A 24,522-nucleotide genomic window follows, 5' to 3' on the forward strand; every position below is an offset into this window, starting at 1 on the left:
ATGCTGTTAAAACGTCTTCAGCAACAACAGTAGCAACTTCATTTTAGCCAAAGACATTTTACCTCCTTCCTCTCACCGAACTTTCCTTTCTTCAAACAGTTTCCGAGCATTTCTCCAAGTGATTGGCTCTTTTCAGACACCTCTGCAGAAGGGTTTTAATTTGCATCACCATATGGAAATCTTCATCTTGAGCTACATGGCTCCTCTGGGCTGTAATAAGCCCACAGAATCGCACTTACTGATGATCTGAAAGTGGTACAAAGACTGACAGCTCTTCCCTCCCAATTTTAGCCCCTCTTTCCCAAAATACTGGCATCTGCCAAAGGCCCAGTTGTTTTCCATGGGGGCAAAATTGCCTGTCTCTCTCTTCAAGCTAACTTTAATTGTACATTCCTTTCATCTGTTCAAAATCTGATTTAAATATGAATTCCTAGAACAGAAATATCCAGCACTCAAAAGATTGTAAACTTGTTATAGTTTGTCCAGCTACACAGTGGTCATATTGTTCTCCTCTATTTGGTGGTGTCCCGTCAAAAGAGACTAAATGACAATGTTTGGTAAAATAGCAACATTAATCACAGTGAAAGTGATTTATTATTAATCTACCATTCTGTGGCTGTCCCTTGGTTATTTGTGAATACGTATCAAGCCCAAACTTTGAAAATTTGATGATTGGTTTCTTGCAGTTTCATTATTTCTCCCTTCTCTCTGAGTTTGATGTGTGTGGAAAGTTTCTCAAATATGTGTCCAGTAAATGAATCTTGGACTTAAAAACAGGGAGAGCAAGAAAAAAAGTCTGGTTATTAATTTAACAAATAGTTACTGAATGTCTTAACTGTCTTAGGTATAGCCCAATGTGCTGAGAATATAGCAGTGAACAAGGACATAGTCTTTGTCCTCACAAACTTACAGGCTAGTGGGGCAAAAGCCAGTGAAAGAACAAGAAAAGACATATACATTTTATACATTGCAATAAATGCTTAGAATGAAAAAAGCAGGGGTATTGCAAAAGAAAATTATGGAGGAAAAACTTAGAGAATGCTCCATGATGACTCAACTCCAAAACTTAGCGTTGTGGATGAAAGAAAAGGTCAGACATAACGCCCACGTATTTGGCCAACCCACAGTTGAAGCAGGTGCTGCTTCTTCAACAATATGCTAGTAGATATAGAAGTAAAATATACTGTACTCTTATGGTGAATTTTCTGAGAGAATTTGTCTTGAAGATATGTAATATGTATACAGTTAATATGTATACAGAATACATTCCTGGGAAAATGCTAAAAAACATTCTGGTACTCCTCTTTTTTGGATTGCTGTGGCCAGGATGCTCTGGAAGCATGCAGTTCTTCTCCCTCCTCCTAGATACTATCTCCGAATTCTTATAGTGAAACTCATTTTCATGCATTGGGTAGGTAAGTCCCCTAAACTTGGGATCTGACGCCTCTTAGACTCAATATCAAGGAGAAGAAATATCAATAGAAGTAGAAAAGTAGGATAGCACGCTCCTGACAAAGTAGGAAGAAGTGCTCCATCACTTTCCTCAGCAGGTACACTAGCCCAGTAACTAGTCTCAATTCACTAGTGAAGACTCACCCACCATTTCCCTATGTTTCCTGTTTCTCCTCATGATTCTCTTTCCATGCGGGAATCCCTAAGGATGGAGCCAACTTCTATTATCTTTATGGTTTGGTCTTATTTTGCCGGTGGTAGTTTCTAGCAGCTTGTAACAAAACTTTGAGGTGTCATCCCTGAACTGACTCAGGTGCCACAAACCCCTCATAAATCCCATGTTGTATTGTCAGAGTCCTTATCACACAAGATCAATGGTTATTCTCTTACATAAAACCCCACCAAGGGTCTCCTATAACTTGTTATACTAAGATCAAGCTAGATATAACAAGAGTTTCAGTTTTCTACTGCTCTGTAACAAACTATCCTAACACTCAATAACTTAAAATAATGATTTATTATTATATCTCATGATTCTGGAATTGATGGGCTCACCTGGGTGGTTCTTGTTTGTAATCCTTTATATGGGTCCACCCAGAAGGTGTCATCTGAAAGCTTCTTCACTCACATGTCTGGTGCCTGGACTAGGATGGCTGGATCATCTGGGGCTGGTCAGACATCAGTTACTTTATGCAGCACCTCTATGTGGCTAGCATAGGCATCCTCATAGCATGGAGGTCATAGTGTAGGCAGGCTTCTAATATGGCCACTGGCTGCATCAGAATTGGTGTTGCCAGTGAATATGGAATATGGAATATGGAAGCTGCCAGTCTCTTAAGGCCTGGGCCTGGAAACTGGCATAAGGTCACTTGTGTCACAGTCTGTTGATCAGAGACCATCCACTTTCAAAGGGAGGGGATATATGTTCTCACCTTTTAAGGGAATGAGTGTCAAAGAATTTGTGGCCATCGTCAATCTGTCACAAATCTATTGCCCCTTTTATACGAGAGCCTTTAATGTATATGAAGAAAGCAAATGTAGACCATTATATTTTTTCTTTACAGGCCATACTCACCAGTTCCTTTAACCTTCAGATCCTTCACATCCTTGCCAACTCCCATATACATTCCAAATTGTCAAAGTCCCATGTAAAACATGGTTTTCAGGTCTTGATTCATTATCCCTGATGTAGTTGTTCCAGTACAGAGGAATGAACTGATCAACATCTCTTTTCTGGAAAATATAATTCTACGTATGCAGCCTAAGTTTGCATTTCTTTTGTTTTTATTAGCTATGTTATACTTTTGATCCATATCAAGCTAAAATGACATTTTAATTATAAAAAGTAATTGCAGCAAACATGTAAAATATGAAACAACACAAAGAAAAATAAGATCATCTGTATTCTCACCACTGAGAATTAACCACTGCTACCTTTCTGGCCTTTTTTCCTATTAATATCTGTGCACAAGTGTGTGTATTCTGTGCCCTGGTTGTTATCCACTTAACAAAATAGTATGGGCATTTTCCCCACATGAGTAAACCTACATTGTCCTCTGTAGTGGCGGCATCATATCATATTTTGCAGTCAAGCGAAACACTTACATCTTTTTTGGTTGAAATGCAGTTAATCCAGATTGTCTTCATTCTGTACTTGCGTAGTTTTAAAAATTAACCTAAATGTATGACTTTACCTTTTTTTTGTTAAAAATTATATTACTGCTTTTAAGGTAAATTATTACAGCCGGTTATAACCTTTTAAGTCCTGATTTTATCAACAAAACTTTCCCAGATTTATGTAATTTAAAAATCAGTAAGTATTATAATCACTGCTATATAATTAAAAATAGGATAGAGCCTCCTAGTGTTTCCCTGGAGACTGCCCTCCAAGTTTCATAACTCCATTGATCAAACACTCTTTGGCTCTGATCAATTAATCATCTGAGTAGTACTATCATGTGACCTGTTTCTCCATTTGAAAACGAGAATTTTCAACACTAGGAGAAAATACTGCCAACCATTTTGCCATTTGAATACATTCTATCTGTCACGTTCCCTTATGTCCATCTCATAATTTTATTAAAGAAAAGAGATTGGGGTGGTTTGGCCTAACTTCTTTTTGGATTCATGCTGTTGTCTTTTTCCATTGTGTTTAAAAACCAACAGTTTAATTTTTCAGTGATTAAATATATACCCTTGGACTATAGATAACAAAACCTATTTTTAAAAATCCAGATGCATTTCCAATTACCCACGATCCTTCAAAGTGTAGCCCCTGTGGCTTGACATTCTCATCCTTAAGTCCTTTAAGTTCACTTCAATGTGGCTCAGTTGGGACAAGCAATTTGGACTCACTCAAAGCAGTGGTGAGCTTTCTTCTATCTTATTTATCTCAGATTTCTGAACCCTGCAAAAACATTGTTCTACCCTCTTTGTAGGAAGATTATTTTCCCTGAAAGGGTCAAGGCAAAATACAAGTTGAAGTAGAGTAGTTGTGTTTTCTCTCTATCTCCTGTTCCCACTACACCCTCTGCTTCAAGTAATGGATCCATTTTTTTTCCCTCTCTAAACTACCTGAGAGCTCACACATCTTGAGATTCTCCAGAGTGACTAACATCATGCCTTACTTGTTATAGGTGTATTAGAACTCTTTTCATTGCAAGCGACAGAAATCCAACTCAAACTTGCTGAAACCAGAAAACCTTTTAGAAACAGAAGTATACAGCGACTTGATTCAATATCAGACAAGCTTGCAACCCAGCTAGCTGTAGAGATGCAAATAATACCATCAGGACTTGGATTCTCTCTCTCCATCTCTCTAAGGTGCATCTCTCTCTGATTTCACTTGGAGAAAGTCTCCTTCCACATAGGAGCTCCAGAATTACATCTTCACAGTGCCAAGCCCTGGGAAAAACAAAATTATTCTTACTTGGTTGCCCAAGCACAAGTCCCAGGGTCAGCTGTATTTGATTCTGTTGGCTTGAATTATGTCATGTGGCCATTCCTGAGCCAATCACCATGACCCTGAGCTTATTACTCTCTGATTGGCCTGACCTTAGTCACTTGCCTACCATAGTGCTTGGACTACAGTGAACTCTACAATAAAGAACAGTGACAGAGTGAGCTGAATGGACAACAAACAGGAGCTGGATGGACAACAGAAACTGCCTACTGTGAACTAGGACCATGGAGGAGTTGCCAATCAAAGCAGAAATAAGGGAGAAATGCCCTGACTGCTCTCTCTTAGTCCTCCAATCTCCCAATATTGCCTCTCATTGGCTAGTCCAGAAGGCAGCTGTCAAGAAGTCTGGAAAATGTCATTTTCAGTACAAAAGAGAGGAATGTATCTGACACCAAGGAGGCAAATGAATGACACCCTCCTTGTAGCAAGAAAGAAAGATTGAGAGTGCTTTCCCATGGAAAATTAACAGCTTCATCTTGATCCTTTTCTTTGCTATAGTAGAAGAATTTGAAGCCTTTCTGCTATTGAGGAAACGGAGGCTCAGTTTTCCAGATTTTGGCCATAGGTCCTAGAGGCTACTGAGACAGCCAGGTGGGAGGGGGTCCCCAGAGAAACTCCAGCCAGCTTGTGCACTGTGATGGAGCCTCAGGAAGTTCACAGTTTGCAGCAGGAAGGAGCCTGGCTGCTCCTCTTCCTGTGTGGAACCTGGGATTAGAACAGCTGGCAGGAAGTGCTTTAGCAGGGACTCTGGCCTAGTGAGAGTCCTTGTTTCCCCCTTTCTTCCTTTTCACTCAATAAAGCCCTGTCTTACTCACCATTCAAATTGTCTGTAAGCCTGAATTTTCATGGCTGTGGGACAAAGAACCCTATTTTTAGCTGAACTAAGGAAAATTCCTGCAACATTTTTGGCACCCAACGTGGGACTCGAGAAGCTGTGAGTGAAATGGGGACTCAAAACCTCTCACTGTTGCTTCTAAACCTTTTCATCCTTGGACTTCTGAACGTGAGGGAACCATGCCCCGACCCCCTGTCATTCCTGGGCCTTTTCATGGCCTTTTCCTTCCTTTTTCAGGAGCTAACCAGCAAGCAGCAGCTCGTCGCCACTTCCCACTCCCTGCACTCCCTTCCCACTCCATGTGCAAGGACACATGGCCCAAGGGTCCCACACAGTTGGCTGGCTGGTTCCTAGCCACAAGCTGCCAGAGCCTACCCCTTCCCCATTCAACGGGTTTTACTCCATCAGACAGTAATTAAGCTTAAACTTTTCTCCCTGGTGGAGGAACCTGTTGCATAAGTATAAGAGGTTCTTCCTCAGGCATTTTTAAACTGTTTCTTTTCTTTCCTCTTTTCCACCCTGTCGGCAGTTAACTTTTAGATTTTTTTTTTTTTTAGGAGATGTTTTACTGGCCAGCTCTCTTCAACTATCACTGTGTGTAGTCTCTGCAAAGTTTTGGTTGTGAAATCAAGCCTCCATCTTGTTTTACATCCCGAGGGCATGGCTTGTGACTCCTGTGGCAAGGCTTTGTTTAGCAATTCTGCCTTAGGGAATAAGTTTCTTTCTGGTTCGATATCTGCATGTTTTCCTAGCTCTGTCTCTTAAGGGACCCTACCCAGTGACTGGGTTTTCTTCTGCCTGCCTGTGTGTGTACTGTGTGTGATGTCTGTGAAAAGAGCTTTAATAATGTGGCCTAAAGGAAAACAAGTGCTTGGATCTAATATTTTTTAAAGGGAATATAAAATATGTGGTACCTTTCTGTTCATGTGATTTTAAATTTTGAGAAATAAAAGCAGCACTAAAGACTATTGGTAAAACGCAGGTCAGATGCAAGGTTTTGAGGTTACAAACTGCTTTTTGGGTTTTGAGAACTATTTGACTTTGGGCTTCACAGTTGGTAAGGCCTGGGGACATATGGAATTAACCATGCCCTTAACTAAGAAGGCAAACCTTGGCTGCAGTTGGCACACAATTAAAGCAACTTACCAAGTTTTACCTTAAAGTTAAAAATTGCTAGGAGTTAATTAAAACTACTAGAAATAGATTTACATGCAAGGCGTGTAAGAACAGTAAAATGTGTTTTTTAGTAAACAGTCATAAGAAGGCATGGAAATGTAAACTATTGCCTAGGGTTAAAGGTTTGTTTTGAGTTAAATTACGAAAAAGCTGAAGATTCAAAGAAGTGCTGGAAGAATTGTGGAAATTAATCTTACAGAAGAGGTTCTCTGTGTGAAGATATTGACTAAATTCAAAAAAGGGTATTATATGGTTTTTCTGTTAATTGAGCATTAAAATAAAGGCATAACAAGGTTTTCTTAAGGTGCTAACCTGCTGTTTGGCAAAATTTGTAAAGGGTTATAAAAGATTTTTTCTTCTTTAAAATTTCTGAGTCATCATTTTGGCAAAATAAATAACTTATGGTAATCTGTAATTCTATTTCATAATATCAAGTGTTTTAAACTTCAAAGATATTTAACAGGCTTCCCCAAATCAAACTTCAGTTTCGAAATTGTCTTTCCTGATGCCTGGCTTTTTGGATGTTTCAGAGGGCCCCTGAAACATTCAGAAAAAAGAGGTAAACAGGATTATTTGACATGTTTAGGTACATGGGATTGCCAAAATGATGCTCAATCTTCTTTAGGCTGTATTTTTGTGAGTAAGGCTAATATATGTTCCAAAATTTTATGGGATTAAAAAAATTCTAATGTCCAAAGTATGTGCTGTCAATCATAATTAAGGTTGTTATGTTAAGTTATTGTAAACCATGGAGATAACCAAACTTCTTGTCAATCGTGTTTCTAACTGTAACTACCCTGGACATTTTGCTATTCATATACAATTGTTGTCTTGTTTTAATCCTTTTCGAAGATGGTTTATAATGAGCTATAGAACTTTAACAGGTGCTCTCAAGTACAGGCTTCTGATAACTTTAGAGATTGTAACATTGGAATAAAGGAAAATGTACAGGACTCATAAAGAGCTGAAATGTTCACAAATATCAAGCAAAACAAGATTTAACTAAATGGACTGAACTCAGGAAGCTGAAGCAAATCTTTTTGACTTTTGCTTAGAATATTGCTGATCCTTGTTTTGTTTTTCTGAGTCAAAGAAACCTATTTTGAATTATTTACGGCCTTTAATAAGTAATGTATATACACTCCTGTAATTAAAATTTGGAGCATCTTTGTTTCTCTCTTCCTGGTTTCTCTAGAATTTAGAAACTATTCGTGAGTATTCTTATGGCAATGTAGTTGTTTGCCTCAGTGCAATAAGAATCCATTTTTCTTTTGCAACAGAACACAGTTGGAGAAAGTGGTTATTTTGCCAAGGCTTTGACTGGAAGGGTATGCTTCCCTTTAAGGAGTCAAGCTCGACTTTCGGAGCTGATAAAAGCCCTGTGGGGAAACTGGCCTCATACCCTTGCCTACAGAGTCCCTGTACAGGGTTCCTGACCTGTGGTCTGTAAAGAATGTCACTTCTAACAGGTCTAGGAGCTCCAATTTTACCTTGGGACCTTAAGAGAAGAGAAACACCCACTCATAGGTGTTTGAGGATGCAAACCCATAGTTGGGCTCAGCTTTAAAAGGTCTTATCTGAGATTCCTTGTGGAACAAATTTCCATTAAAGCCAATCCAAAAGGCCTATGTAGAAATAATTGTTCTTGCTGCACTTTATTCAAATAATCAGGCCAAGTATAAGACTAATATCTATTTTTCAAACCACTCAGTTCTATGATGATTTGTGTTTTTAACAAACATGAAGACTGTAGAGAGAGAAATTATGTTCCAAAACTTACCATACATTTGTCATTAAATCCTAAACTAATTAGTTGTTTGTAAATTTTCACCTACATTTTAGACTAACCCTGCTTGTCCTGTGAACCAACCAGTAATCCCTGGCTGCAGCTCAAAAATAACAAAAGGGATGGGTAATGCAAAAATCTGGATCAATATTCTAGTTCTGAGCAATTATCATGCAAATCCTGCCAGGTGACGGGAATAAATAGGATACTCATCACTCGGAGGTTTCCTTTTTGGGAAAGTAAGACCAAGGGAGCTAATCAAAGCCAAGCACCATGCACCCAAATCTTAGCAAGCATAACTATAGCCACCAGTTATCTGGGTATATCACAAGGCCTCCTTTCCTCTCCCTTGTTGGAGGACGACTCACTTCCACAGTTTCACCTTAGCATTTGGCTTATGACAAGGAGTCCATGCAACCCCCTTAGAGGCACATTTTTGTCCCAAACTTAATTCCAAGCTTCGGGTCAAAACCCTAGGAAGGATAACTGGATCTAAGGGATTCAGAGGCAGATGACAACAGAGGTTAAAAGGCACACTGCAGGTGAGTGTGGCTGATTGCTGCCGATTAAGCCAAGCCCAAGCTTCCTGCTTCATGGATAAAGGCCATGTTAATATCCATGGCATAAATGAGGTCTAGGGAACTCCAAGGCTACTGACAGCAGGCAGGATAGAGGCACAGGTGAGAGCCAATAATTCCTATTCTCAAGGCCCTCCCTGCTTCATGAGTGCAAGCCACTTTAGCACTCATGACGGGACCAGCCAAGGTCACCAGGACTCAGGGATGCAAGGATGGAAGAGTGAAAGAGGACGCTCTTTCCTCTCTCCCTCATGTACCCTGGGTATCTGCCAAGAGTATCTGCTAGGAAGAGAAGGAAACCAGGGACGCCTGCTCCCCTCTTTCTAGATAGGTAGCCATTCATCTTCAGTCCGTACCCCTTTAGAATGCATCCTGAACCTCTGGGGCTCCTTTGAAAAAATACCCTTTTTTCCCCTCTCTCTTCCTCTGTCCTCTCTTCACAGATAGGTAATTGTGTCCCTATACTATGGGACACTCCCCTCAGATGCATCCTTCAAATTGGAGAGAGTTAATTTTCCAAACCTTAAACTGCTTGGCTTAGGATTTGGCTCAGAGGAAGGGAATCCAGAAGCCTAACATTCCAGCAAAAGGGTAAAGTTTTTTTTTGACAGCCGGGCTTTTGGCTGCCCTCTCCCTGTGCAAACTGGTAAAAGGCCTCAGAATTTTTTGAGCTGTCTTTACCCTGCTCCTTGTTTCATTTTGATACATGTGTTCTAATAACCTGGTTTGTCTGTCCTTGCCTTCAGGCCATCAGACTCTGAACAGTCATGCAATCGGAGCCTCTGACGATGGCCTCTTCTGCTGGGAACCCTTAGATAGGCCTCTAGGGAAGCTCTGACTGCCGTTTCCCTAAAACAGAGCCCCCTATCAGCAGGAAGCAGTTAAGACTGGACTTCATCCTTATCCTTAATCTAACAGCAGTTAGATGTACTTCTTTAGGGTGGGTAATGAGACAGCCAGGTGGGAGGGGGTCCCCAGAGAAACTCCAGCCAGCCTGAGCACTGGGGTGGAGCTTCACGAAGTTTGTGCTGTTTGCAGTGGGAAGGAGCATAGCCCCTCCTCTTCCTGTGTGGAACCTGGGATTCGAAAGGCTGGTGGGAAGTGCTCTAGCAGGGTCTCTGGCCTAGTGAGAGTCCCCGTTTCCCCCTTTCATCCTTTTCACCCAGTAAAACCCTGACTTACTCACCATTCAAATTGTCTGAGAGCCTGAATTTTCATGGCTGTGGTACAAAGAACCCCATCTTTAGCTGAACTAAGGAAAAGTCCTGCAACACTACCAGTGGTCCAGGAGTGACTGTTTTGTTTCTTAGAGCATGGAAAGGTCTGAGGGGTCCTGAAGGAAAGGCCAAGCCAGCTGTGGTGATGGAGGTCTACTTAGGGTGCTCAGGGAAGGGGCATTTTTTTCCAAAACAGAAGTGCAAGTCTTGACTTGGTTCCTGAGTGTGAATAGTGTGAGTTATATAGTGGGTTCAGGTAACGAGGGGGAACAGAATTGTCTTTTTGATTTTTGAGTGCAGGATAGCAAGAGTCTGAACAGTGAAAGAATTCTGTAATTCAACATTTAAACAGCTGGCATCACCAACCTGGTATGTTTTAATTGAGTGTCAGCTCTGCTCATAACCCTCCTTCTCCAGGAATTCTTCAGACATTTTGGCGACCCACAGACATTTTACTAGATCCAAGGCTGCTCTGTAAAATAACTTGTGTTGGGATTCTTTACTGAGAGTTCGTTATATCTTACCACAGAGCATCCAAAAACCTCTTTCAAGAACACATAGCCAACTCTTTGAGTTCCTTTGCCTCAGGAACTTTTGTGTTGCCAAAATAAAGCAGACTCTTGTATTGGAAAGCCCAGGCTCTCTGAAAGGGGAATGTTAGAGGTGCCTCACACAGGCAGCCCAGGGCTGAAAGCAGAAAAGAGATGTGTCTGGTTTGGTCTGAACAGTATTAGTCAGTACAGAGTTTAAGTCTAAATGTTGCTAACATTTAAAAATGAAGACATTCTACAAATAAACCCAGATTTCAGGGTTTTACCAGCAAATTGAATGCTCAGTCAATACTGGTTCCACATTCCAGTGCCAGCAATGGTGTCCCCTTTAGAAAGCATGCATTTGGCCAGGCGTGGTGGCTCACGCCTGTAATTCCAACACTTTGGGAGGCTGAGACTGGCAGATCACGAGGTCAGGAGTTCAAGACCAGCCCGACCAATATGGTGAAACCCCATCTCTACTAAAAATACAAAAATTAGCCAGGCATGGTGGCGTGCACCTGTAGTCCCAGCTACTTAGGAGGCTGAGGCAGGAGAACCACTTGAACCCAGGAGGCAGAGGTTGCAGTGAGCTGAGATTGCGCCACTGCACTCAGCCTGGACAACAGAGCAAGACTCAAAAAAAAAAAAAAAGCATGCATTTCTGGTTAGCCACAGTCTTTACCACTCCCTCTTGTCTTCCTGACCCACACTTGAGAGTCAGTTGCCATTTAATCATGTTGTCCAATGGGCAGGTGCCGCTCATTGGCACCACCTGCTGGGCCTCTTAGGTATTTAAGTTTCTGACTCAGGCTAGACGCAGCTAGGGAGAAAATAGTTCACATTCTCCAAGCCACTGATTTTTGTGGGCCCTGTGAGGGGAAGAGTCCAACTTCCCACTTTGGGACTTCTGTGAGGTGACTTGTGGATGACTGAGAGACCGGATACTGTGCTCTTGGTTGTTGTGATAGAAGATCTCTGGGCTCAAGCCTGGATCGTCTCCCTCAAAGGACCAGACTAGCTTAGACCAGGATCACTCAGCAGTAATAAATGAAGACAGAAGACACGGGGATTTCTCTCTAAAAATTTAGGGTGTGCAAGAACCCTAGTGCTTTTGAACAGCATTAGAAGGCAGGCTTATAGGATTATAGAACTGAATATCACTCCAGCAATGTGGGAGAGAGTTCAGAGAAAAGTATTGATTAAGAGACATAATATTAATATATAGACAGAGTTATATAATAGCTGGAAAGATGTTTGGCTGTGCCTTCAGGTATTAGTCACAGTTCTTCTGGGAAACAGAACCAAAAGAATCAGTCAATCTATCTAGGTATCTATGTCTATCTATCTATCTATCTATCTATCTATCTATCTATCTATCTATCTATCTCTCTATCCATCCATCCAATCTTTCTGTCTAGAGAGATGCTGGAAACCTGGGAGAGCCAATGAATAACTACTGTCTGAGTCTGAGTTGGAGCTAGAGTCTACAGCCAAAAGCAGAAGACCCATGTCCTATCTCAAAGACCATCAGGCATAGAGAGCGAATTCTTTTTTACTCAGCCTTTTGTTATATTCAGGCCTTCAATGAATTGAATGAGGCCCACCTACTTTGGGGAGGAAACTGCTTTACTCAGTCTACTGATTTAAATGTTAATCTCATCCAGAAACACTCTCACAGACACACCCAGAATAATGCTTCACCACATATCTTGGGCTCCCTGTGGCCCAGTGAAGTTGACATATGAAATTAACCATCACTCCTCATGCCTACCTATAGCGAGAGCTGGGATGAATCCCATCCTCCCATCTGCAGGGCTGGCTGCATGTGTTTGCTTATGTGCTGTCACCAAGGAACAGTTTCTCTTTGTTTTGTCATTGTGTGAAGCTGCATGTCTGAAATGATCTGATGATGATTTTTCAAAAAGCCTCCAGTACAGAGCTGCTTTTTTTGTTGTTGTTGTTGTTTTTATGTTTGTTAAGAGCAGATGCTCTAATAGCCTGTCTCTTATTGCATGGGAAAGTACAAAGGAAGTGATGGAGCCACCATATATTTCTAAATTTCTGCTGACATTCCTGGGGGATGCTGCAGTAACTCCTAAGGCTGCCTTTATTTTATCTGCATAGCCCAGCCCATGCACTACCTTCAGAGTTATTTTCCCAGATCCTGAGCCTAATCATGCTTCACTCACTTACAGTCTATCTCTGGGTCCCCATGCCTTCCTCTGGAGCCTGGACTCTTTGACAAGGCATTCTGGCATTCTAGACTCTTCCTGCATTGCCAGCTTCATCTCTCCATCACCATGTGCTCTGCCTAATTTCCCAAATATTCTGTTCCCTGCTTCTTTCCAGGTCTCTGTTTACCCTGCTTCTCCAGCCTGAGTTCCTTTTTTTTCTCCATTCTGCTTGTTGAACTCCTGCCAAACTCCGATTTTGACATCAAAGCCCACCTTGAATGCTGCTTGTCGCTAAAGCCATCGCTGGCATTTCCAGTAGGTATTGCAGTACTTTGGATCTCTATCCTAGCACCTTCCCTGAATTAGTATGTGCATGCTCCACTTCCCTGACTAGAACCAATACTTCTCAAGGGCCACAGAGCCATCCCCTTCAAGAGAATTTGGACAAGAGGAAAATGAGGTGAATCTTCTCAGTGTTAAATTATCAAATCAACTCAATGGGCCAGAAAAGTCATATACAAAGACCACTTAAGTAGTCAAAATAATTCTTGGTTCAGAGTGCAACTTGATTGCCGTTGTTTTTAAAGCAGCATTCATCACCCTGTAATCTGGAGGTGAGGGAGGTGTGTTTGTTTGGAAGAGTTCATTATCCTATCATATCTTCCCTTTGGTGGTTTGCATGATGAGTTAGCCTATTCAAGGCTCTGAGAAGTGCTGTAATAATGAGCCCTTTTCACTTTGTTGAATCTAATATTTCTTGAATTTATGACGTTCTTTTATTTTTCATAGAACACTATGAAACTTTTATTTTTTCATAGGACATTGTCAATATCTACTGGACTAAAGAAATTCTCTACTAATCAGAAAAGGAATTGGTCTGTATTGAAGCTGGAAAGAAAATCAGAGGAGCCAATGCTGTCAGAGTGCATCCAAGGACCATTTAAAGATGTCCTGGCCGGAGGTCTGGGCTGTCAGGTCCTGCCAGCAGGTAGATTCCTTCCAGAGACATTCCTTGACCTGATACCATCAAATCACTTTAGTAGGACAAGTAACTTTCCTTATTCTCATTTCATGCTTGCTAGACAACTGATTATACTTTAGTTTTGGAAGTAAATTTCTTACATGAAGGAAATAATCTGGTCTCAGGATGGGATGTTTAAACCCCTTGCAGTTCTAGTATGGTAATAAATTGGCATTCTGGGCTGTACATCAGTCCCTCATGACCTTGATTAGTGAGACTCCATCCCTGAGATCCTTATTCATTCTTAGTGGAATAAAACAAAATCATATTTCACAACCTGTGAGGCTGTGAATGATATCCTATTACTGTGGTGAATATAATAATGGCAATAACTAGCATTCATAGAGCATTGCTTTGGTTATCTGTTGCTGGATAGCAAATCACCACTTAGTGGCCTAAATCAGAAACAATCATTTTATTATTTCCCACTGTTTCTGTGGATCAGGAGTTTTAGAAGGGCTTTGGCTGAGCACTTCTGGCTTGGGTTGCAGTCAGACAATGACTGGAGCAGCTGAGGGCTACTGGCATCTCTCTCTCCTTTGTAGACTTGAGGCCTCCATATGTTCCCTCCATGTGAGCTGGTTGGGGCTTCCTCCAAATATGGCGGCCCTAAGACTCCAAAAGCAAGATTCCAAGTGAACCAGGTGTAAGATCTATCAACTTTTCTGGTTTATCCTGAGATTCAAAGGGAAGGGAAATAGACTTCACCTCTTGGCAAGAAAATGCCAAAGTTTTAAAGAACATATGGGATGGGAGATAATGTTGTGGAGTTTGGAAATACAACCTGCTGCAAGCACTGCTTATATGCGATGCCTTCACTAAATCTCTCTCTCTCTCTCACGCACACACACACCTTATTAATTCCTCACAACAAATCAATGAGATAATTCTTATCATTCCCTGTTTTTACAGATGATGAAACTAAGGCTCAGAGAGGTTAGGTCATTTGTCCAGGGACTTGCAGTCCTCTAGTTGTAAGGTTGGGTTTCAAAATCAATGTACGTTCTTAAACAGTACACTCCACTGCCTCCTGACACACCGAGGTAAATGCCACCCTGGGAAGTTACTGGAAGCCTGTCAGCCAGTCTTCCTAGTGACTCCCACATTACCATACATAGTAAGTGTGGTGGGAGAATATTTCAAAGTATTAACTAGCATGCCTTCCTCCTTAAACCATCACATTCCTTTACTTGTGCCCTGAGGGTCTTTCCCTCATGGATACCCTGCCTGCTTCCTGCCTCCTCTGGTCCAGATAATGAGACATGAGCCACCAATTTATAAAACCAGAAAGCAAAGGCCAAAGCTACTTGTTTATTTAGTGTCTAAACTGCTTTTTGACTCCATAAAAGTGTCCTAGTGAGACTGACACTCGGACAGGCTCTTGATGCTTTGCCCAGGTGTCCCTGGATCCCTTGTCACCATTGTATGCCCCAACCCCATCAGTGTTCCTGAGCTTCTAACAGGCAGCACCTGTGGCTCCTTTTTGCATATGTTTGAGTCCACTCTGCCCAACCGCACGAGAAGATAAGGAGCCTGGGCACTCAGGCCTCCCTGGCTGGTCCTTAGCCGGTGCGGGAGGGTGTGGGAGTGTGAGGGTTCAGCTGCCTGTCCTCTGGTTGGGACAACTGTGTGGGTGACACCCTCCAGAGCATTCCTGTGGGATTGGGTGAAGTTCCCCTCTGTGGGACTTTTCATGAAACTGCACCTTTGATTGGCTTCCTCCCCCTCCTTCCCCTGATTCCCTGCCTCCCTTATGGGTTTCTCTCGTTGCACCATCTTTGATAAGCCACTTAGAGCCTGCTTCTGAGGAGCCTGAGCTAAGACACCAAGGATGAGAAAAGAGAGGATGGAGGTGCTGGAGAAACTTCTTCAGTACGGGCCAGGTCCTTTGCCAGATCAGGTGGCTACAGGGAAGTCGAGCCAGCCTGGCCATTCTCATTGTGCTTCAGAAAGTAGACCCGCTTCCTGCCCTGATAACAGCAGCTGGCCAGTCACCTGTCAGCCTCAATTGAGGAGTCCCTCCTCAATATTCAGTCTAACCTTCCTTCTATGGACATACTTGCCTCCCACCCTGTTAATGGTACCAGCTCCCTGGAATGGAGATTGGACCCAAGCTACTTAAAGGAGGGCGGTGGTCTGAGGGTAAGTCCCCCACAACTTACTCCTCCTAACACTCTCTCACTCATGCCTGACTAAAATGATACTTGATAGAACTCATTCAAAATCTCCCAGAGCAGATGCAGAAGCTCACACCTGTAATCCTAGTGTTTTGGGAGACCAGTGCAGGAGGATCACTCCAGACTAGGAGTTCAATACCAGCCTGGGAAACATAATGAGACCCTGTCTCTATCAAAAAAAAAAAAAAAATCCAGGCATGGTGGCCTTCACCTGTAGTCCTAACTACTTGGGAGGCTGTGGCAAGAGGGTTGCTTGAGCCCAGGAATTTGAGGCTGCAGTGAGCCAGGATTGCACCTCCAGACTGGGCAACAAAACAACACCCTGTCTCTACAAAAATAAAAAAACAAACAAAATGAACAATAACAACAACAACAACAACAACAACAATCACAGACCTGGGGCAGGGTTGGAACCCACAATGAACTAAGAGTTAGAATTCTTGAGCACTAGTCCCAGCTTAGCCCCCTGACTAGCTGTGTAACCTGTTTTCTCACCTGCAGTATAGTCTCTGAGATCCCTCCAGCTCTAAATGCCTGTGCTTTCATAGGACAGTGCCTCCTGAGAGCTTATAATCTTGTTAGGGAGACACGACACAATTAGAAGGCTGTATATGACAGACTGGTGCACAAAGCTGAAATCAGTCCAATTAAGAGAGAAAACACTTGGTGCAGAAAACAAGTACTGTACAGTGGCTGATTAGGATGGGAGGATTTCTGTGGGACAGAGTCTTCAGGAAAGGATTCAAAGAATTATTTGAGAAGAGCTTTGGAGGATGACTATTGCTTATGGGGAATGGGGAAAGCCACCATAGTCTTGTGCATACAATTGTTACCTGGGCGTGAAATGAGGGCAGAGACAAGGGAGAGCAGAGAATGGAATCCTGGTTATCATTTAATTGCTGTTCTAACTCTAAGTGAATACAAGAGCACACACTGCTCCAGTTATAATATGCTAGTTATTTATAGGGCTGTATTTCTATTCTCCCAGGCTTCACACACATCACTGGAAATCTGACATTCAGAACTAACATTTCCAACCCCCTAAATTTTAATTAAAGTAATTACGTTACTAACAGAAGCTATAATTTATCTTCTCCTTGTGTTCACAAACAGGAAAAGGCAACTTTGGCCAAGCATGTTTTTCCTGACTCTTATTCCTGGTTTGTTTCTTTTGGTGGTGGAGATGGGGGCATCTTTCTTTGGTCTGGGTGGTCCAGAGATCACACTGCTTATTGCACTGTGCTTTCTATAGTGCAGAGAGGCCTGTTCTGGCTATTTGGAATAACTGTGGTACTGAGACCCAAATGGGTTGAGTCTTTTCATTCAGGAGCAGCCATGAGCTAAGGGAAAGTCCTTCTGGCAAAGCTCTTATTGGCATAAGACACTTTGTGTGTGTGTGTGTGTGTGTGTGTGTGTGTGTGTGTGTGTGTGTGTTTTCCTGGCATTGTTGGGGATAAGAAACTCAGTGATTTAGATGAAAACTTTCCATGCAATTAACTTTCTCCAGACTAAAGCAGGTGCGGAAGGGAGCTACTGGGCCAGTCTGCTTAGTAAATATCTATCCCCAGATGGAGAGCAATTCAATGGAAATAATTACACCAGGTCAATTAAGCAGAACTCAGATCTCCTCCTGTTAGCCCTTTTGAATTTTTTATTTCCATGAGCCAGATTTCCTCAGGATTTAAACTGCTTTACCTCTAGAAAGAGGGTGTCTCTGGGGAAATCTTATTGATTTGTGTGGTGGTGGTTGTTGCTGAAGAAGGTGGCCCCACTCCCCAGGCAAGAGCCCTGGGCTGGGCCTCCAACAGGCCTGGGTTGGAATGCTGGCTCCAGCACAGTGTAGCCTTATAACCGTAATCAAGTTATGGAATTCTCTAAACCTTAGTTTTCTCATTAGAAAAATGGGAATAGTGAGAGGGCCTCTATGTCAGCTCTTTCATAACGATTAATTGAGAAAATGCTGGTAAAGCTTTGAAAAAAGGGCCGGTATATAGTAAATGCTCCACAAACAGACACTTTTGTTATTATTATGATGATAGTTATCAACAGAGAAAAGGGATATTATTATACCTGTGCCACCTACAATGATCCAATGGAAAGCTTGTATAAAATGTAGCATGTAGATGTAAGAGCTAATGGAAAGCTTGTATAAAATGTAGCATGTAGATGTAAGAGCTAATTATGCTCAATTCCAAACATGCAGAATTCAAGAAACAAATATGTGAGTTTATAAAATGGAACAATTAGGGAGTGATGTAAGTGCTGAACAAAAGAAGGAACTGCAGAATTCAATGAATTCTAAAGACCCTTAGCTGCACCAACTGCCAGTCCATTTGTAGATTACCGATGGCTTGTCACAAAGACCGTGAGGAAGGCTGAGAAACTAAGCATTGGGGACCATGCTAAGTTGAAAATGAGTCAGAAATGAAGTGACATCGCCTCTAGAATGATAAGGCAAATCAGTAAGAAATGGAATCCAACTGACAAAAATTCAGCTTTTTGTACAACAATGGTATTTATTGAGAGCTTACAACTTGACAGAGGTATTTCTAAGTGCTTATGTGGATTCCTTATTTAATCCTTACCACAACCTATAATGTTGGTTCTATGATTACCTCAACCTGACAGATACACAAATCTTCAGGGATGCACCTGCTACAGAAAATGAAAGTCACTTAATTCTTAAAGGAGCCCCTTTATAGACTAGGAGAGAGCCTAGATCCACCAAAGGCTTACATGTGGAAGAGGCTTACTTAAATCCTGGGAGAAATTGGATTTAGTTGTGTTCATCGATTCTAATGAATCTAACAACTATTTACACAGGGTCTTCTACTCTGTACCAGAAACTTGGTTTGCTGTTGAAGATATAATGGTAAACAAAAATAGATATAATCAGTTCTGGGAAGATGGAATAGATATACTTTTCTTTACTCCTTCTGCTGTGTACAATAAACCCCCTGGACATTGTCTATAAAACAAACATAAAAGGACTCTGAAAAATGGAAAGAAGGCAGATTTTCTAGGGACCTTAAGACCCAAGGAAATGACACAGTGGTGTCATTAGAGGTGTCTTAGAGATGAAGAAACCAGTGACCAAGAAATGCCAATGGGTGCAGACAATACAATTCCTGCTGTCTGTAGCCAAAGGACCAGGAAAGAGGCAGCCTAACAAGACAGGGGACTTTCAGACACTAATGGCTCTACTCTAGCCAAACACCACAGAAAAAACTGTGGCTACCCCCAACCCCCATACTTGCAATGGCTACATGGGAGGCTAGACCTCCACCCTCTTGAGGCTGTAAGGAGGTGCTGCACTCCCCTGCAGGAATGGTGTCAGAGAGGACCAGGTAGAAAGCTGAGACTTTCATCTGCTCCAGGTGGTGATGAGGCATCCATGCCTGCAGTGTCAGTAGAAAGCTCCTGTACTCCCACCCAGCAATAATGAAGCCACCCTGTGCATCCCTGCTGGGGTGGTGTCAGAGGAGGCCTGGTGGAGAGTCAGGACTTTCACACCTGCCCAGTGGTAATGAAACCAACGCCCCCCACCACTTTCTACCCGTTTGCGTCAGTGCCCCCCCAGCCCCCACTTTCTACCCATTTGTGTCAGTGGAGGCCAGTTGGGAAGCAGTAATGAGCACCTTTCTACCCCTCCCAGCCAGAAAGGTATGAATGGAGGTTTGGTGGGGACAGAGGACTCTCACCTCTGTCCAGCTCCACCTACCTAGGTGCCAATGGACGCCCAGGAGGCAATGTGGACATATACCCCCACCTGGTGGTAACAAGGTGACACGCTCTCCTTCCCCTGCCAGAGCTGAACAGAAGTCAGCTGAAACAGAAGGCTCAAATAAGATCCAGCATCTTATATACTAAATATATCCAGGTTTTAACCAGAACCCATTTGACACACTAAGAGCCAGGAAGATACCTAATCAAATGCAAAAAGACAATTAATAGATGCCAACACCGAGAAGACAGAGATGTTAGAAATACCTGATGAAGAGTTTTAAGCAGTTATTGTAAAAATACTTCAAAGAGTAATTACAAATGTGCTTGAAACAAATGAAAATATAGAAAGTTCAAGCAAGAAAATTGAAGATATAAAGAAGAGCCAAATGGAAGTTTTAGACATGAAAAACATAATCACTGAAAATAAAAATCTCAAAGGATATATTCAACAGCAAAACAGAGGGACAGAGGAAAGATTAATTGAACTTGCAGGTTGAAAAGTAGAAATTACCCAATTTGAACAACAGAGAGAAAGTACACTGAAAACAATAAAGAGAACAGTCTCAGTGCTTGTGGGATTGTAACAAATGATCTAGTATAAATGTTCTAGGAGTCCCAGAAGAACAGAAGACAAAGGACAGGAATGGAAAAGTACTTGGAAAAATAATGGCTGAAACCTTCCCAAATTTTGCAAACCACATACCTACAAAAAAGAAAGACAGGGGTAACTATCTGAAGTGAGGAATATGTTAATTAGTTTAAGGTGAATTTATATATATACACACATATATATTAAATCATCATGTTATACACCTTAAATGTATACAGTCTTTGTCAAATATACTTCAAGTTGAAAAATTAGTTTAAAAAAGACATACTTATGTATTCAAGAAGCTGTGTGAATAATACAAATCATCTCCCCCAAAATCTATAAATCTCCAAAATAGAATAATCTCTCCAAAAATCTATAGCAAGGCATGTCACAAGCAAACTTTTGAAAACTTAACACAGAAGATCTCCTTTTTTTTTGTTTGTTTTTGTTTTGAAGAGACAGAGTCTCACTCTGTTGCCCAGGTTGGAGTACAGTGATGTGATCATAGCTCACTGTAACCTCAAACTCTTGGGCTCAAGCCATCCTCCTGCCCCAGCCTCCTGAGTAGCAAGGACCACAGGCACACACAACTACACCCAGCTGATTTTTTTTTTTTTTTTTTTTGCAGAGACAGGATCTCACTGCTGGTCTTGAACTCCTGGATGCAAGTAATCTTCCCAACTTGGCCTCCCAAAGTGCTGGGATTATAGCCATGAGCCACCGCACCTGGCCAGAAATATCTTTAAAGCAGGAAGAAGGAAATGATGCATTACCTATAAGAAGAAATGATTACCTATAGAAGAAAATGATTCAAATGCAACTGATTTCTCATTGTCTGCACATAAGAAACCAGCAAAATGTATTTCAAGTGCTGAATATAAAGAAATGCCAAGCTAGAATTCCATCATCAATAAAAATATCCTTCAAGAACGAAGGGGATAAGCCAGGCACAAAAATACAACTACTGCATATTCTCACTTATATGTGGAATCTAAAATAATAGGAATAGAGAGCAGAATGATAGTTACCAGAGTCTGGGGTTTGGGAATATGGGAAGATATTGGTTAAAACATACAATGGTTCAGTTAGGAGGAATAAATAGTAAGTATTTGAGGTGATGAATATATTAATTTGCTTAACTCAATCATTCCATATTGTATACATACATCATAGCATCACTTTGTACTTCATAAATATATACAATTATCATTTGTCAATATTCAATTAAAAACAGAATGAACAGAATGAAGAGGACATGGAGGCATTTTCAGATGAAGAGAAACTAACAGGATTTTTCAGCAGACTTACTCTAAATGAATGGCTACAGGAAATACTATAAAAATAAAGGAAATGATAAAAGAAGAAACTTTGTAACATCAAGAAAGAAGGAAGAACCACCAGTAAACAAAAATATGGGTAAATAAAATAAAATTTTTTTTAACTTCTTTAGTTTTCTCTATTATCTTTGATGGTTGAAACAAAAATTGTAACACTATCTGATGTGGTTCTAAACGTATGCACAGGAAATACTCAAGATAACTATATCATAAGTCGGGGAGGGTAAAAGAACATAAAGGAAAGTAAGGTTTCTGTACTTTACTCAAACTGGTAAATGAAAAACTGGCAGGCTGTGATAAATTACATGCATTTAATGCGATACCTAGAGCAACCACTAAAAAAAAAAAAAAGCTATGCAAAGAGATACATTCAAATGCTATGGAAAAATAAAAATGAAATTTAAAAAATGTTCAAGAAAGCCACAGGGAGGTAAGAAAAACCAAACAGAAAAATGGAAAGCAAAGAGGATAAACAGAAAACAAAAAAGAAAATGGCAGAATTAAGCTCTAACACATAATTAATTACATTAACTATAAATGGTCTAGATATACAAAATAAAAGAGATTGGCAGGGTTGTTTAACAAACATGACTAAATTATATTCTATCTGAAGGAAACTAACTTCAAATAGAATTATAAATGTATGATAAAGGATATATTATGCAAATATTAACCAAAGAAAACAAGAGTAACTTTATTAATGGTAGATAAAGTATACTTCAGAACAAAGACAATTACCAGAGATAGAGATATTATATAATGACAAAAGGGTCAATCTATTAAGAATAGCAATTTTAAATGTGTATGCATCGAACAAAAAAGCTGCAAAGCATGTGAAGCAAAAACTGATATAATTGAAGGGAGAAATTTTAAAAAGTCTACAAGTATAGTTAGACACATCAACCCCTCTCTTGACAAATAATAGAACAACTAGACAGAAAATTAGCAAGAATATAGAAGAACTCAACACTACCTTCAACCAACAGGATCTAGTCAATACTTACAGAATATCCAAACCAACAATAGTAGAATATATTTTGTTTCCAAGTGCTCACAGAACATATGCAAGATAGACCATATCCTCAGCTACACAACAAACCTCAACACATTCAAAAAATTGAAAGCATACAAAATGTATTCTCCTATAGCAATGGAATCACACTAGAAATCAATAACAGAAAGACAATAGGAAAATCTCTAAACACTTGGCAACAAAAAGACATACTCCAAAATAATTCGTGGTTCAAAGAGGGAGTCTCATGGGAAATTAAAAAAAAGTTTCAGCTGAATGAAAGTGAAAACAACATATCAAAATTTGTGGGATACAGCTAAAGTAATGCTGGGAGGGCAATTTATAGCACAAAATGCATATGTTACAAAAGAGGAAAGGTCTCAAGTCAATAATTTAAGCTCTTACCTTCAGAATCTAGAAAAAGAAGAGCAAAATAAACCTAAAGCAAGCAGGAGGAAAGAAATAATAAAGAAAACAGCTGAAATCAATGAAACTGAAAACAGAAAAACAAATGAGAAAATCATTGAAACGAAGAGCTGGTTCTTTGAAATGAGAAACAAAGTTGACAAACTTCTAGCATGACTGACAAAGTAAAAAGAAGATAGCAATATTTGGAATGGAAGATATCACTGCATATCCTGCAGACATCAAAAGGATATTTAGGGCATTTTACACCACAGATTTGACAACACAGACAAAATAGACCAATTTTCTTTAAAAAAAAAACACCAGTGACTTCAACTTACCCAATATGAAATGGATAATTTGAATAGTAGTATAATTATTAAAAAATTAAATTGATAACTGAAAAAACCCACAAAACAAATTTCCAGGCCCAAATGGTTTCACTGGAGAATTTTATAAAATACTTAATGAATTAAGACCAATTCTTTTGGGAGGCTGAGGTGGGCAGATCACAAGGTCAGGAGATCGAGACCATCCTGGCCAACATGGTGAAACCCCGTCTCTACTAAAAAAAAATACAAAAATTAGCTGGGCGTGGTGGCACGCACCTGCAATCCCAGCTACTTGGGAGGCTGAGGCAGGAGAATCACTTGAACCCAGGAGTCGGAGGTTGCAGTGAGCCGGGATTGCGCCACTGCACTCCAGCCTGGCAACAGAGTGAGACTCTATCTCAAAACAAACAAACAAACAAACAAAAATTCTACACAATCTCTTGCAGACAGAATAAGAGGAGGGAATATAATATAGCCCAATTCATTTTATGATGCTTCAATTATCATAATAGTAAAACTGGATAGATAGGAAAGGAAAGAAAGAAAGAAGGAAAGCAAGGAAAGATGGCAGGCAGGCAGGAAGGAAACCACAGGCAAATATTATTCATGAATATAGACACAAAAATCTTTAACAAAATATTAGCAAATAGAATTCAGCAATATATGAAAAGGATTTTATATACCATGACTAAGTGGGGTTCATTGCAGGAATGCAAGGCTGGTGTAATATTAGAAAGCCAATCCATATCAATAAGTTAAAGAATAATAATCAACTGATATGTCAATTGGTGCAGAAAAATAATTTGACTAAATTTAACACCAATTTATGGTAAAAAAAAAATCAGAAAAATAGGAATAGAGAAGACCTTTATTACTTAGTAAAGAGTACCTACAAAAAAGCAACAATTTACATGATACCTAATGGTGAAAAACTGAGTGCTTTCCTCCTAAGATCAGGAACAATGCAAAGATATCCACTCACTACTTTTATTCAACATATTTTGGAATTTCTTGCCAGTGCAATTTAGAAAGTAAGGTAAATAATACGGATACAGTTTGAAAGGGAAGAGATAAAACTGTCCCTATTTGCAAAGGACATGACCGTTACACACAAAATCCCAAAATGTTATACAGAAATAATCCTGGAATAAGTGAGTTCAGCAAGGTCACAGGATACAAGATAAAAAAGACAAATATGTAAAACTCA

The 24,522-nt window shown here is 40.5% G+C and overlaps 1 long non-coding RNA gene across 4 annotated transcripts in view; it reads left to right on the plus strand.

Annotated features, from left to right (window-relative positions):
* Positions 1–21,667, plus strand: part of LOC105378464 (uncharacterized) — a 57,847-nt gene extending 36,180 nt beyond the window's left edge. For 2 of the 4 annotated variants that reach the window (XR_946283.1, XR_946284.1), the window contains 3 exons: positions 12,889–13,028; positions 13,532–13,701; positions 21,473–21,618. This is a non-coding gene — a long non-coding RNA (uncharacterized LOC105378464). Of the gene's footprint in view, positions 1–12,888; positions 13,029–13,531; positions 13,702–21,472 lie in introns of all 4 variants that reach the window. The other 2 variants (XR_007062285.1, XR_946282.2) reach the window with 2 other exon arrangements.
* The last annotated feature ends 2,855 nt before the right edge of the window (positions 21,668–24,522 follow it).

The sequence above is a fragment of the Homo sapiens genome, chromosome 10 (assembly GCF_000001405.40).
Source record: "Homo sapiens chromosome 10, GRCh38.p14 Primary Assembly".
Classification (NCBI taxonomy): domain Eukaryota; kingdom Metazoa; phylum Chordata; class Mammalia; order Primates; family Hominidae; genus Homo; species Homo sapiens.